This window comes from Homo sapiens, chromosome 21 (assembly GCF_000001405.40).
Source record: "Homo sapiens chromosome 21, GRCh38.p14 Primary Assembly".
Classification (NCBI taxonomy): Eukaryota; Metazoa; Chordata; class Mammalia; order Primates; family Hominidae; genus Homo; species Homo sapiens.
In genome coordinates, this window is record NC_000021.9 from 40,197,695 (window position 1) to 40,212,469 (window position 14,775).

The following is a 14,775-nucleotide window of genomic DNA, read 5'->3' on the forward strand; positions in this document are numbered from 1 at the left end:
TTAATAACGCATCTGTCCTTCTGTCCTTTCACGTCTCAGATCATTTTCATATCATGAGCTTGCAGCAACACATGTGTTTCTCAGTGGAGAAGGGATTCTTAATTCCATTTACCTATAATTACCTAGGATGGGGAAACTAAGTAATTAGCCTAAAGTCATACAACTAGTAAATGGAAGATCTAGAAGGAGAATCCAGGTCTTCTGATTCCAAGTGCAAAGCCTCTTTCCCTTATAGTAGCGGAGGAGGCCAAGGGTGCAGAGTGTCTGACCACAGGGGTATCTGACAGCCTGACTGTCTTCAAGCCTGAACACCCTTGGAAGCCCCTCAGTCTGGGGCCTGAGTCCATTTACAGGAGACTCCTCATAAAGTCCTTGAAATTTCCACTTTCTCAGCTGCAAGGCAAGACCCAAACATCTCCCGCAAGCCTATTGCATATTTGTAGAATTAAGCAGACGAGACTGGCTACACAATTTGCAGGACCCAGAGCAAAATGAAAATATGGAGGCTTTTGTTCAAAAAGCAGGAAAAAGGTGCCATTAAAGTTCTAAAATATAAAGCTTTTTCCTTCCTTCTGTGGTCTCCCTCTCTCCCTCTGTCATGATGGCCTTTATTTTTTATTTAATATCCCACTTCCTCTGGCATGGTGATACTGGCTGGTCAAGTGCTGACCCTCCCTAACTCCCAGTAACAGCCCTGTGACTTGGCATGCACACTCATGTGCCCCACCACATGCCTGGATCCCCACCATCATCATACCCAGGCCAGGGTGGGGACGTGTAGTCAGGCCTCTCTCAGTCGAATAGGTGACCTTCAGTGACCTGGAGACCCACCCTGCCCGGTCATCCTCTGTAAACTCTCTGGTACTGCCACCTAGAAGCAGGGAGGGGTGCCACACCCAGAAATGTTACAGGAGGCTGTCTCTGACCTTCTCCACATACTTACCCAGATCCCCATGGACTGGATGACCATAGCCATTGCTGGGCAGTTGCAGGAAAGGGGAGCCTGGGGCTCCAGGGGGCAGGAAAGTGAACAGCTGAAAACCTATTCTGGAGAGGCAGTGGGAGGTGGGATGACATGGGAGCTGTGGCTCCACATACCCTGTTCATGCTCCATTGTCACACTGGACTTCACTTGCAAAACACAATTTCAAAGACAAAATTGTTAAGAATTCAAGATGGCGGCTGCAGATAATCTTTGGCTTGTGGGACTGGACTGGTCTTGTACCGATGATGCTGTCCCTGAATGTCAGGACAGTACTCCACTTCCTAGGCAGCCTCTACTGCTTCCAGTAGAAAGAAACAGCCCAGGTACCTTGAGCAGGAGGGGAATAAGAAGAGCTGAGGAGAGGGCAGTCTCTTGGATAAGACTTAGATATGAGTAACCACAATCTGGAATCTGAAGTAGGGAGCCCACTCTGCCCATCATGAAGGCAATGGGTACAGAGGCAAGCCTTAATGAGGGAAGTGACTAATCCACTTGCAATCAACATCTTCCCAAGCCACTCAATACATCACGATTATCTTTCATTAAACCTGTGGTCCCTATTCCTTACATCACCTGGGAGCCATAAAAACACCCACAGTATGCTGAGAATGATGACTTCCAGCTTCATCCCCTGGAAAGGATAAGATCTCATTCTTTTTTATGGCTGCATAGTATTCCATCATGTATACATGCCACATTTTCTTTATCCAGTCTATCATTAATGGGCATTTGGGTTGTTTCCAAGTCTTTGCTATTGTAAATACTGCAGCAATAAACATAAGTGTGCATGTGTCTTTATTGTAGAATGAGTTATAATCCTTTGGGTATATAACCAGTAATGGGATTGCTGGGTCAAATGGTATTTCTGGTTTTAGATCCTTGAGGAATCACCACACTGTTTTCCACAATGGTTGAACTAATTTACACTCCCACCCACAGTGTAAAAGCATTCCTATTTCTCCACAGCCTCGCCAGCATATGTTGTTCCTGACTTTTTAATAATAGCCATTCTGACTATTCTCACTTATAAGTGGGAGTTGATCAATGAGAATACGTGGACACAGGGAGGGGAACAACACGCACCGGGGCCTGTCGGTGGGTGGGGCAAGGGGAGGGAGAGCATTAGGACAAATATCTAATGCATGCAGGGCTTAAAACCTAGATGACAGGTTGATGGGTGCAGCAAACCACCATGGCACATATATACCTATGTAACAAACCTGCACATTCTGCACATGTATTCTGGAACTTAAAGTAAAATTAAAAAAACAAAAAACAAAAAACACCCACAGTAGTATCTTCCCAGTCACAGCGAATACTTGCTGTCCTCAGGATTCTTTTTTTTTTTTTTTTGGTAAAATACACATAACAAAAAATTGGTCATTTTGGTCACTTTCAGTGGACAAAGTACATTCTTAGTCTGTCTTCAAATCAGAACACCCTTGGAAGCCCCTCATTCTGGGGCCTGAGTCCATTTACAGGAGACTCCCCATAAAGTCCTTGAAATTTCCATTTTCTCAGCTGCAAGGCACATTGCTGTACAGCCTTCACTACAATTCATCCCCCAAACTTTTTCTTCTTCCCAACCTGAAACTTGGCAACTCTTAAACAATCCCTATTCTCTCCTTTTCCTGGCCCCCAGGCCCTGGCAGTCACCATTCTACTTTCCGTCTCTATGAATTTGACTTCTCTGGGGACCTCCTATAAGAAGAATCATACAGTATTTGTCTTTTTGTATCTGGCTCATTTTACTTAGCATAATCTCCTCAAGGTTCAGTCAAGCTGTAGCCTGTGTCTGAATTTCCTTCTTTTCTAAGCCTGAATTATATTTCAAGATATGTGTACACAGCATTTTTTTAATCCAGTCATCTGTCAACGGACACTTGTGTTGCTTTCACCTTTTGGCTATTGTGAACACTGGTGTACAAAACATTATTTTTTAGAGTCTGTAGAACTTTGCTAGAGAAAATGGCTTGAGTCTTTTTGCCTGTTTCTTCTCAAGCCATTCAAAGGCCAAGCAGTATTTTCCCTGTTTGTGGTCTCTGCCTCTCAGTTTCATCTCCGTTTCCTCATCTGTAAGAACAATGAGACCTGCCGCCTCCTAAGGCTGTAATGAGGATTAATGAGATTATGTTAGAGGAACCCTCTGAGGGTGTTGGAAGAATGGCCCCACAGAAACACCAAGTGTGATTATCCCTGCTGCAGAATCAAAAATTTCTCCTGTCCAAATACTTATTGTTCATAAGATTTCGGCAAGTGAGGCTGCCTACTGGGCAGCTCTAATCCTTATAAAGAAAATGATTTTTCCAGCCAGGAATTAACAAATTCTTAGCACATACTAAAATATCTCCTCAGCTGGGTTATTATGCTTACATAATGAAGTTACTTAGATTATAACCGTTAATCAAATTCATGTTTCCAAGCTGGAGTGGGTCATATTTGATGCTAAGCTTGAACAAGAATGACAACATCTCCACTTCCTGGCAGCTTTTCCAGGCCCTTATGACATGATTGAATGTGTCAGGGGAAAGACGAAGAACATTTAGGGTTCATATTACATTCACTCTGAAGTTATTTCAAGTCACATTATTGGAAGAAAGTTGATTTATTTTTTAAGACAAGTATGAATATTAACCAAAAGATATCAAAAACAGTATTTTCCTCTAACTCGCATGGAGGCAGGCTGGCCATTTCTTTCTTTTTTTTTTTCCATCTGTCTGGTTCTGTACATAGGTACTATATTTTGCCCAATAAGAAAGCTTCTTATTTATTTATTTATTAGACGGAGTTTCACTCTTGTTGACCAAGCTGGAGTGCAGTGGCATGATCTCAGCTCGCTGCAACCTCTGCCTCCCTGGTTCAAGCAATTCTCCTGCCTCAGCTTCCCAAGTAGCTGGGATTACAGGCATGCTCCACCATGCCTGGCTGATTTTGTATTTTTAGTAGAGACGGGGTTTCTCCATGTTGGTCAGGTTGGTTTCAAACTCCCAATCTCAGGTGATCCGCCTGCTTCGGCCTCCCAAATTGCTGGGATTATAAGCATGAGCCATTGTACTCAGCAGAAAACTTCTTAATAATTATGTAGAAAAAGGAAAATAGTAAATAGATTTTGATTTCCTGCCATCAATGATAGTAAAAAAATAAAGAAACAAGGAAGAAAATAGATCATGTCATCCTGAAAAATTGGGTAAGTGCTGTCCAGGATATTAATTGCAGCAAAAATATATTATGAGCCATGGGTTAGCCAGTTTTTAAGGTGACCTGTGGTAATCTCATCTCCTGGAATTCAAACTCTCCACATTTTATCACTCTGAGACCAGATTATAAAAGGACTGTAGCTTCTACCTTCTACTTGGGTGCCCCAGTTCTCTCTCTTTCTGTCTGATCACTTGCTCCAGGGAAGCCTGCCATGATATCACCAGGATACCCATGTGGCCTATGGAGAGGACCATGAGAAGGACAAGTCTTGGGCCAATAGCCTGCCAACAACCCTGTGTGGGAGCTGGGGGGTGGATTCCACCCCCGCCACCCTTCACTCTTATATTCAGATGCATTTCCCAGAAGGCAAGCAGTTTCCATGTGGCTTGGGGACAGACACAGAGTTGTCATGTCTGAAGCCATGTTCTAACTTTTGAGCAGCTGCTTTATGTACAGCTGTTTTTCATGGAGAAACAGAGAAGATAAATCATCATCCCCATTAGCACTCAATGGGGTGGTGAATTCTACCATGTCTTGTCTCCATCACCCACTGCACAGCACACTGCCTGTGGCTCCCAGCCGTTCAGTGTGCTGTGTCTTCTGGAAGCTGGGCTGGTTATCTCCTTGAACAAGTCCTTCGGCCTCTCTGTGCCTCAATTTCTGTACCTATAATTACAGCACCCCCTCCTAGGGTTGCTGTAGAGATTACAAGCTAATAGCTCTTTAGGGTGTCCCAGGGATCTCCTCTACCTGAAGATTCTTGTCCAAAATGGGCCAACGCCCAGTATTTTGATCCTTCCTTCAACGTTATAATCTCCACCATATTTCTGATTCCTAAAGTTTCACCTTTTCCTTGAAACCACTCTGACCATGTGATCTTCATCTGTGTTAATATTCATTTTCCACTGTGCCTCTTCATTCAAGCATTAGTGGCATGATTCCATTGGCTTGCATGTGATGCCCATATGGTTTTTTTATTTGGTTATCTGGATTGTATCATTTATTTCATTCCTTTTTCATTTGACTATGCTAGTATCAAGGACATAAATGCCCTTTTAAAAACATCTGGTGTAATAATGAGGATGATAATTATAGCTAATATGCATTAAGTTCTCTGCTGAGAAATGTATTAGCTTTTAATACCTACAGCAATCCTAGGAAGGAGGTTTTGTAAATATGAGTATAAAAATTGAGGCACAGAGAGGCTAAATGGCTTGTTCAAGATCACACAGGTAGAGAGGAGCGGAGCCAGAATTTTAAACCATGCAGCCCATCTGTTTCCCACCTGGGTATGGATGCATGAACAACTTGGTACATCCTTGGCTGCTTTTGAACTGTATGTAAAATACCATCAACCTTTCTGCATTCATTTGTGTCTGGCTTCTTTCCTTCCACCTTATGTTTGCAGATATCTACCATACATGTATAGTACCTGTTGTTTCTTTCCTTTTATACACAGAGTTATTATACAGCCCTGAACCAGCATCACCTGGGAACATGCTAGAAATGCACACTCTGGGGTCCCACAACCTGTCTGAATCATCCCCCACCTGGGGGCTGCTTTACATCTGTTCTTTGTGGCATCCCTCCCCTACCCGTCACCCAGAGCCTTGTTTTCTAGTACCCTGCGTGCATATTGCAGAAGCAGCTCAGGCTTTGGAATCAGCAGAGCTAACTTTGAGGTTTTTTGGCTCTGCCAATTGATAAGCTATAAAATTAGGTGGGTATTTATGTTCTGAATCATCTATCAAATGGGTGCAAGGGTGATGCCCACCTCAATAGAGAGAAGCAACACAATTAAATACATGCAAAGACCTTTGTAGATTATAAAGTGCTTATAAGGTTAGTTTTTTTTCTAGTTAATATTTGTGTTCATGACTTGGTTTTCTAATTACATTGTACATTCCTGTACGGCTAAAGAGCTTTTCATATATATGTATAGGCAAGGATTGTAAGAAAAAAAGTGTTAAGATAATGGGATCATACAGATTTAAAAATTTTAAATATTTAATGTGGTTTTTATAAAGGTTGAGCAATAAATAAAATATGTTTAAAAGTAAATTTCACTTATGTAGGTTTTAAATGAAATATTAATGAATTTGATAAATAATATAACGGTTGTGTCCATCATATCACGTAGAATATTAACAACATAGGTAAAAGATAAAAGGAAAACAGGGGTGTTTTAAGTGCTAACTTTTGTTAACTTGTTTTGAAGAGAATGGGGTGATGGTCTGCTTACTTTCCAAGAATAGGGTTCCCAGTGGTGTTTTCAAAGAGATTGCTGCTACAGATTAATTGTAGGGCCCATATTTGTGTGCGTGTGTGCACACACATGTACCCATGAATGTGCCTGTGTGAGCACGTGTGCAATTCTATGCATGTACATTCATTCTTTTGTGTGTGCCTGTGTGCATGTGTTTGCGTGGATGTGGATGTGTGTTTATGTTCATACCTGCCTGGGTGTCTGCTGGAAGACTAGAGGGCAATGGCTCCTAAAGACTTTTAATTATCTTGAAACCTTTCTCCCAAATTTTGTGTGAAAGCCAAGATGATGCATTTTTATTATGTTTATTAGAAAATAAATATACAACTATATATTTCTTACTTATTTAAGAACGTTCTCATAAAGGAAAACCTTAAAGTTCTCAGATGGTCTCTATAACCTTGGCCTATTTTATAGGTTTGTGGAAGGGACAACTGACTTAGAGAGGCTATGGAGATACAAAATAACACCAATGGTTTTGCAGATAGAAAAGCACCTCTTCTGAAAGAATAAGGAATACACCCAGCCTGTGGAAGCCAGAACCAGCGCCTTTACTTTCATAATTCAAAGTGGGGGCGAGATTCTTCTCATGTAACTGAACTGTAGTATTAATGATACAAAGAGATGGAGGTCGTATCCTAGCTTTCGAGTAAATGCCAACACAAGCAAGTGTGTCTGCACATGCACACACACAGTCACATGTGCAACTAAAACCAGTGCTTTTTCCTGCTTTGTGTTATGGGCTTATGAGCCCTGCATCCAGCAGTGAAATGGGTAAACAGATGCATGGCACATTTGCAGGAATACATTCCATGTAACTGTTGGCAGGCTGCACCCCTTCTGTGTCTTCTGTTTATGTCAGTTGATACATCTTTAAGAAGGGGGAAATGGAAGGAGCAAGGAATTGTTGGCAAACAGCACTGTTAATCAGGAGGTATTTTATGACCCAGCAACTCTCAGGGGGTTTTTAAAGTTCAGAGGCTCATGAAGAGACATGTGTAAAGGTCCCTCCCAGGGGAGACGAACAGACACTAATTGAGGTATTGACGGCTCTAAATGAAGCAGAAACCTGCTAGAAGATTCAGCTCCAAGGAAGATGAGTGCTGCCAAGCAGTGCATGCTGGGGGCCTTAGCAGGTTTCATTCACTGCTCCTTCATGCAAGTAAGTGTACTCTTGGGCCTGGTGCAGTGGCTCATGCCTGTAATCCCAGCACTTTGGGAGGCCAAGGCAGGCAGATCATCTGAGGTCAGGAGTTCGAGACCAGACCGGCCAACATGGCAAAACCCCATCTCTACTAAAAATACAAAAATTAACTGGGCATGGTGATGGTAGCCTGTAATCCCAGCTACTCAGGAGGCTGAGGCAGGAGAATCGCTTAAACCCGGGAGATGGAGGTTGCAGTGAGCTGAGATTGCACCATTGCACTCCAGCTTGGGTGACAGAGCAAGACTCTATCTCAAAAAAAAAAAAAAAAAAAAGTGTTCTCTTGAACACAGAAACTTGTGCCTCTCACAGCACAAGGTCCCAAGCTAAAGAGCCACAAAAAATGATCTGTTGAAGTATTAAAAATATCTCCTTGATCATGTCCCCAATTCTTTGCCTCGGTGAATATTATATTGTATATTTCCCCATATGCACATATAAAACAGGCATATAAGATATTTAAGCATGTTTCAAAAACATTCAAGGATAGTAAATAATGTTTAAAAGCATCACCTATAGTTTCTCCTGAAGAAAGATTGTTGCACTGCTCTCTCCATCCCATTTAGGGAGGATTTATGCAATAAGTATTGGAGGTTTTACCACATTTGGCCTTTTATATTCGACATGGAACTATCTCACCCACAGAGGCTTTTTGGCATTGGCAGCAGCACCTGCTTCCTCTTAGAGAGCCTGGGATGCCCAAAGCAGAGGGAACTGTGAAATCTGACACAACGTGTAACCTGTGCTCTAACTGTATCTCTCTGAACTCCACCCAGTTCTAAGGATAGTAATGTCAGTGCGTCTAGGTAAAGAGACCTTTGAACACCCGTGTGAGTCTGTGTGTGCCTGTGTGAATAGCAAATGAGCTGTCACCAGAATACCTTCATCCCAGTAGGTGTGTCCCTAATGACAGGAACAGGATGTGAGGATGAATCCACTGGAAACTGCTGGGGAAAAGCACCTGAGGCCAGGGGTCAAGGAGGCAGCTCTGGGTAGCAGAGCAGAGGCTGTGAGCATCCTCTGGAGGGCATGTTAGCACACGGGGGTAGGCCCGACCTGTGGAGCTGACTCAGTGGGTCTAGGGGGGACTCCAGAGGCTGCACATTCTACATGTTCCTGAGGTACAATGGTACAGCTGGGTAGGTGGTGGAGGAGGGCACACATTGAGACCCAGTGAGAGGAATGGGTGCCTCCAGCATCAACCATATTTCCTGGGCCATTTCCACATAGCTATTTGGATGTGTTATATCAAGTAAGTTAAAACTCTGCTTTTATTTTTTAAAAATCCCAATAATGTGGTAGTAAACATTTCTAATCCTTGCTTTTCCTGGGATTTGCCAAAAAAAAAAAAAAATGTTCAAAAGAAGCCTGGGCAACATAGCAAGACCCCATCTCTACAAAAATAAAATAATAAATAACTGAGCATGGTAGCACATGACTGTAGTCCCAGCTAGCTGGGGGACTGAGGTGGGAGGACCCCTTGGGCCCAACAGGTCAAGGCTGCAGTGAACTCTGTTCATGCCACTGCATTCCAGCCTGGGCAGCAGAACAAGACTTTGTCTCAAAACAAAACAAAAACAATTTAAAGAAAATTTAGGTGATTTATTTTCCATTTCAAGAAAAGAAAGACATTGCATGCATGATACCCCAGGATAGAAACCACAAAGATAGTGCTTAGCAGATTTGACAATGCATCCTGCTAAAGATTCTGTATGGCAATAAACATGCAAACAAATAAATATGGAAAACAAAATTTTTAAAAAGTCAAACCGAAAAAAAATTGTAACTATAGTAAAAAAGTATTATTATGCAATAACATAAATTTATAAATACTAAAAACAATCCCAGAAAAAGTGAAAAAGGATAGAGAATTCATTAAACAAATGGAAATTTCAATATTAAAATACCAAGATATTCAAATTCTTTCTATAATTTCTTTAATTTCTGTGAAATTTTCTTGCCATTGCAGAGCAGATGACTGAAAGTGTCCAGTTTGGTAGGAGGTGGGGACTGGGGTGCTGGCACTCTAGTCTTGCAATGGAAATGTCTGATGGTACAGTCTTCTGGGAAGCCAGTTTGGCCAGGTGTAAAAATATGTTGTGTGAGCAGATCTTTTGACCCTGTAATTCCTTTTCTTGTATTTTATCCTAGGAAATTAATTAGATAAATGTGCATAGTTTATGTATAAGGATGGCTCATTGCAATCTTATTGATTATAGGAGCCTTTAGGCACAACATAAATGTTCACAGTTACTTAAAAAGTAATTACACATCTATAAGTGGCATATTATTCAGCCCCTAAAACACAAAAACTATAATGTAAAGTCTCAGAAAGATAGATCTGTGTTCATTTGCTAGGTCTGCCATAATAAATTATCATGGATTGGCCTCAATAATAGGACTTTATTATCTCACAGTCCTGGAGGCTCGAGGTCCAAGACCAAGTTGTTGACAGGGTTGATTCCTCCTGAGGCCTCTCTCCGTGGCTTGCAGATAACCATCTTCACCTGGGGTCCTCACACGGTCACTCCTCCATGTGTGTGGCTACACGCTAACCTCTTCTTAGAAGGACACCAGTCAGATTAGATGAGAACTACCCTTAGGACCTAATTTTACCTTAATCACCTCTTTAAGCCTCTATCTTCAAATACAGTCACAGCAGGAGTTGCGGCTTCAACATGCGAATTTTAGGGGGAGACACAAGTTAGTTCCTAATAATACCTATAATACATTATCAATGGAATAAAAATGGAATCCATGGAGTAATAGATTTAGTGTATGTTCCCATCAACAAATATTCCTGGTTCAAATTTGAGCAGCACTGGCCAGGCATGGTGGCTCTTATCTGTAATCCCAGCACTTTGGGAGGCTGAGGTGGGTGGATCACCTGAGGTCAAGAGTTTGAGACTAGCCTGGCCAACATGGTGAAACCTGATCTCTACTAAAAATGCAAAAAATTAGCTGGGTGTGGTGGTGGGTGCCTGTAATCCCAGCTACCTGGGAGGCTGAGGCATGAGAATAGCTCGAGCCTGGGAAGCAGACACTGCAGTGAGCTGAGATTGCGCCATTGCACTCCAGCCTGGGCAACACATTTCTGGGCTAAACCGGGCCACAATTCCATTGTCACAGAAAGTGGCAGCGAATCTCAAAGGGTTTTCGGTTGAGCATGGAGAATGGCTCACTGAGCTGTTGCTTTCATTGTTTTCCCCAAGGATCTTGGAGTGCTGCATGCTCTCATATTCTCACATGGTCAGGAGTTCTTACTCACCAGGAAACAGCTGGGGAAAGAAGTAACATGTCCTCTCTAACTTACATGTGAAGGAACATTTTGAGTATGACGAGAACATGCAGAAAGATCTCCTGACATAACTGTTATCCGTAGGGGGTTCCATTTAGCCCTACACAAAATCCCCTTGGGTTGCGAAACAGAAATATGGAGAGGCAGCTGCGGCTTTCACTGCCCTACTCCTCCCTCCTCTTAACCTTTCATTTAAAAATCTAAAACAGGCCAATCTGATCCTCTAGGAAGATTAAGAAATTTTTGCTGGCAATAGGAAGCATGCAACTAAGGAAAAAGCCCTCAAAACAAACAGCCCCTCAAAGATGAGGTCTGAGCTATTGTGATTTCTTTTCAGAAGCTCTAAGAGCAAGACAGCTGACAGCTAAATGAGCGGGCACTATTTTGAGAACTCGCATTCAGGATTAATTGTAGGGGTGAGGTTCTGTGGGCTCAGAGAGGCTGCCTGTAGCCACGAGGACAATGAGTGATTCTCCCCTCATCGTCTTCCACTTGGGACTCTCAGAGCTGGTTGCCATGGTTGATGAAGTGAAGTGCACATGCTTCCGCCTTGATGACAGTGAGTGACAGGAGGTTGTTAAGGAAGCAGTGGGGGAGGATGAGTGAGAAGGTTATGCAGGGTGTGTGGCCAACCCTGGACCTGTCCAGTATAATGCCAGGCTTTGAGCAAAATGCCAAGAAGAAGACTGGATGAAGTGAGAAACTACTCATTTCATAGACGTTGCATGGCGATGCCTGCACACACAAGACTCCTACATTTCTGTTCTTCCTCTTCTGCTCTCTTTTCCACTCTTACCCTTGCTGATCTGACCTGCTTGGGCTGTCTCGATTATTTCTTATAAAGCCCTGACCACTCTCTCCTGAGCTGCTGTCTCCCATCTCTGGAGGTCAGCCAGGTACTTCCATTTGGAAGGCACACCATCCCCTTACAATCAACATGAGACAGATGAAATGTGGCACCTTTCCTTCCAAGCTTTCTCCCTGTCCCTATTCCTGTCCCAGGCTCCTCCTTGGATGGATTCCAGGTCCCCAAGGCAATCAGTGGCCTGGTCCTTCTTGGTCAAGGTTCATAGCATCATTTAAATTAGACTTGTCCCCTCTAGGCCCGTGACCATCAGCTTACTGCAAGCCATAATCAGGATGCCTGTGCTGGGCTGTGAAATGGCATTATAACTCATCGCTCATTCATCTTCCTTTTCCACTCCAGTCTATCCTAGGGCTCTGCCAGACTCAGCTTCCTCACATGCAACTTCCAGTATGATATCCTCTCACTTGCAATTTACAATGTCTTCCTGCTATTTACAGATTAAGCTCAGTTTTCACAGCTTAAAAGTTAAGACGTTTTATAATCTTGCTGCAACCTATGTTTCCAGTTACCCACTAACTCCTTCTTTACCCAGACATTCCACCCCAGCACTCAAACATACCTTGTATGTTTCTCCACCTCCCCCATTCCCTATTTTGAGGTCTGAGAACATGGTTTTCCTTTTCCAGGTATGACTGGCTGGCACTGTTTTGCCATTCTGAAAATTACCTCCAGTTCTTCAAGTTGGATTTCATTCCACCTTCCAGGTTAAACTCACGTCCTACCTCCTCTATGGAGCCCTCCCTGACCTCACCCCTACAAGGGGCTCTCCCTTCTCCAAACTCCCACAACTTTTTAATGTATATATTCACATTTATTGCACATATATATCTTTTGGCATTTACTTTTACAAAGCTAAAGTTTTGCAATACAGACTCCTAGGAAGTTGCAAAAATAGTAGAGTCCTGTGTGTCCTTTAGCTTCTGGCCATGTTGTGAATTTCCATAGCTGTGGTGCAATATCAGAGCCAGGAAACCCACATGGGAACATTCCCAGTTAACATTATCCAGTAGACTAGATGCCTTCATCTTTTATTCATTTATTTGTTCTTTAAGATGGATTCTCGCTCTGTCACCCAGGCTAGAGTGCAGTGGCACGATCTTGGCTCACTGCAACCTCTGCCTCCCAAGTTCAAATGATTCTCCTGCCTCAGCCTCCCCAGTAGCTGGGATTACAGGCATGTGCCACCATGCTTGGCTAATTTTTGTATTTTTAGTGGAGATAGGGTTCCACCATGTTGGCCAGGCTGGTCTCGAACTCCTGACCTCAGGTGGTCCATCCTCCTCAGCCTCTCAAAGTGCTGGGTTTACAGGCATGAGCCACTGCACCTGGCCACCTTCATTATTTTTAACCCACATTCATTTGTGTGTATGTGCTCGTGTAGCTCTGTAGGTGTATACTTCCGTTTAACTTTATCCCATTACAGGTCCATGTACCCACCACCACCATCAAATGAGGAACTATTCCACACCACAGAAGAATTCCTTATTCCTATCTGTCTGTGTTTGCACCTGGCCCCATCCTACCCATTGTACCTGTCTACTAGTATCCACTAAGGTATTCTCCACCTCTGCTGTTTTATCGTTTTGAGAATGCTTTATAAAGATAACTTTTTGAAGTTGGCTTTTTTTCACTAAGCGTAATGCCCTTCAGACTCATCTAGGTTATTGTGTGTGTCAACAGTTCATTTCTTTTGATTGCTGAATAGCAGCATTCCAAACTATGGATGGACCATAGATTTTTCAACCATTCACCTGTGAGAAACATTCATTTTGTTGTTGTTGTTGTTGCTGTTTGTCCAGAATTTAGCTACTATAAAGAAAGCTGCTATGGATATTTTTATATAACTTTTTGTGAACATAAATTCATATTTCTTTGGGATAAATGCTTAAGAGAACAATTGCTGGACCACATGGTAAGTGCATGTTTAGTTTTATGAGAAACTGCCAAAGAGTTTTCCAGAATGTCTGCACCATATTACATACCCACCAGCAATGCATGAGAGATCCAGTTTCTCCACATCTTTGCCAGCATGTGGCGTTATAATTTTTAAAAAATTTTTGTTGTTCTCATAAATGTGTAGCCAGGCATGCATTTTTGATGTGTAGACCTATCCACCTATCCATCAGGGCATGAGTCAAACATTTCCAAAGGCAGTGACTTGTCCTTGGTACAGCCCATGATGCATCAGACATGTAGATTCTCACCAAAATACCTATGGACCAACTGCCTTCTATCTAGAAGTGTTATCACACTTTCCACTGCATACTCTGCTAATAGGCACTTTTATCCACACCTCATTATTCTCCTCCATCATTGCCCTCTGGATTGTAAACTGCTTGAGGTTAAAGATGATGTCTTAATTGTGTAGACCCTAATTGTTGGCAAATAGTAGCTGCTACACAAATTTGTGTGTGTGTGGGTTTTGTTGTGGGAGACTGAAATTCTGAAGCTTTTTTTTTTTTGGTGTGGGGGGTGGGAGGGAGTCTTGCTCTGTTGCCCAGGCTGGAGTTCAGTGGCCCAATCTCTGCTCTCTGCAGCTTCCGCCTCCCAGGTTCAAGCATTTCTCCTGCCTCAGCCTCCCAAGTAGCTGGGATTATAGGCGTGCACCACCACGCCTGGCTAATTTTTTTATTTTTAGTAGAGACAGGGTTTCTCTGTGTTGGCCAGGCTGATCTCGAATTCCTGACCTCATGATCTGCCTGCCTCGGCCTCCCAAAGTGCTGGGATTATAGGCGTGAGCCACTGTGCCCAGTCAATTCTGCAACTTTTTTTATTGCAAAGAAGGAAGGGTGCTCAAGGCATAGAGAACAACACAGAGGCCTCACCTTGAGAGGCATAGCCATGGGGTTTAGATTGAACATGAATTTAGTTTTGATACTTAAGAATTCTAACTTCATGTTCAATCTAAACACCATGGCAGCCCTGGTCTCAGCCTTACCTCTGCAGTCTAGTTGTC

General features: G+C 42.8%; 1 protein-coding gene and 1 non-coding gene across 5 annotated transcripts in view; both read right to left on the reverse strand.

Moving 5' to 3' along the window:
* Positions 1–14,775, reverse strand: part of DSCAM (DS cell adhesion molecule) — an 836,160-nt gene that overhangs the window by 186,696 nt on the left and 634,689 nt on the right. The gene's annotated exons all lie outside the window — the stretch shown is intronic.
* On the reverse strand, positions 14,658–14,737 carry MIR4760 (microRNA 4760). The gene has a single exon (NR_039917.1). It is a non-coding gene; the product is annotated as a microRNA 4760 (primary transcript).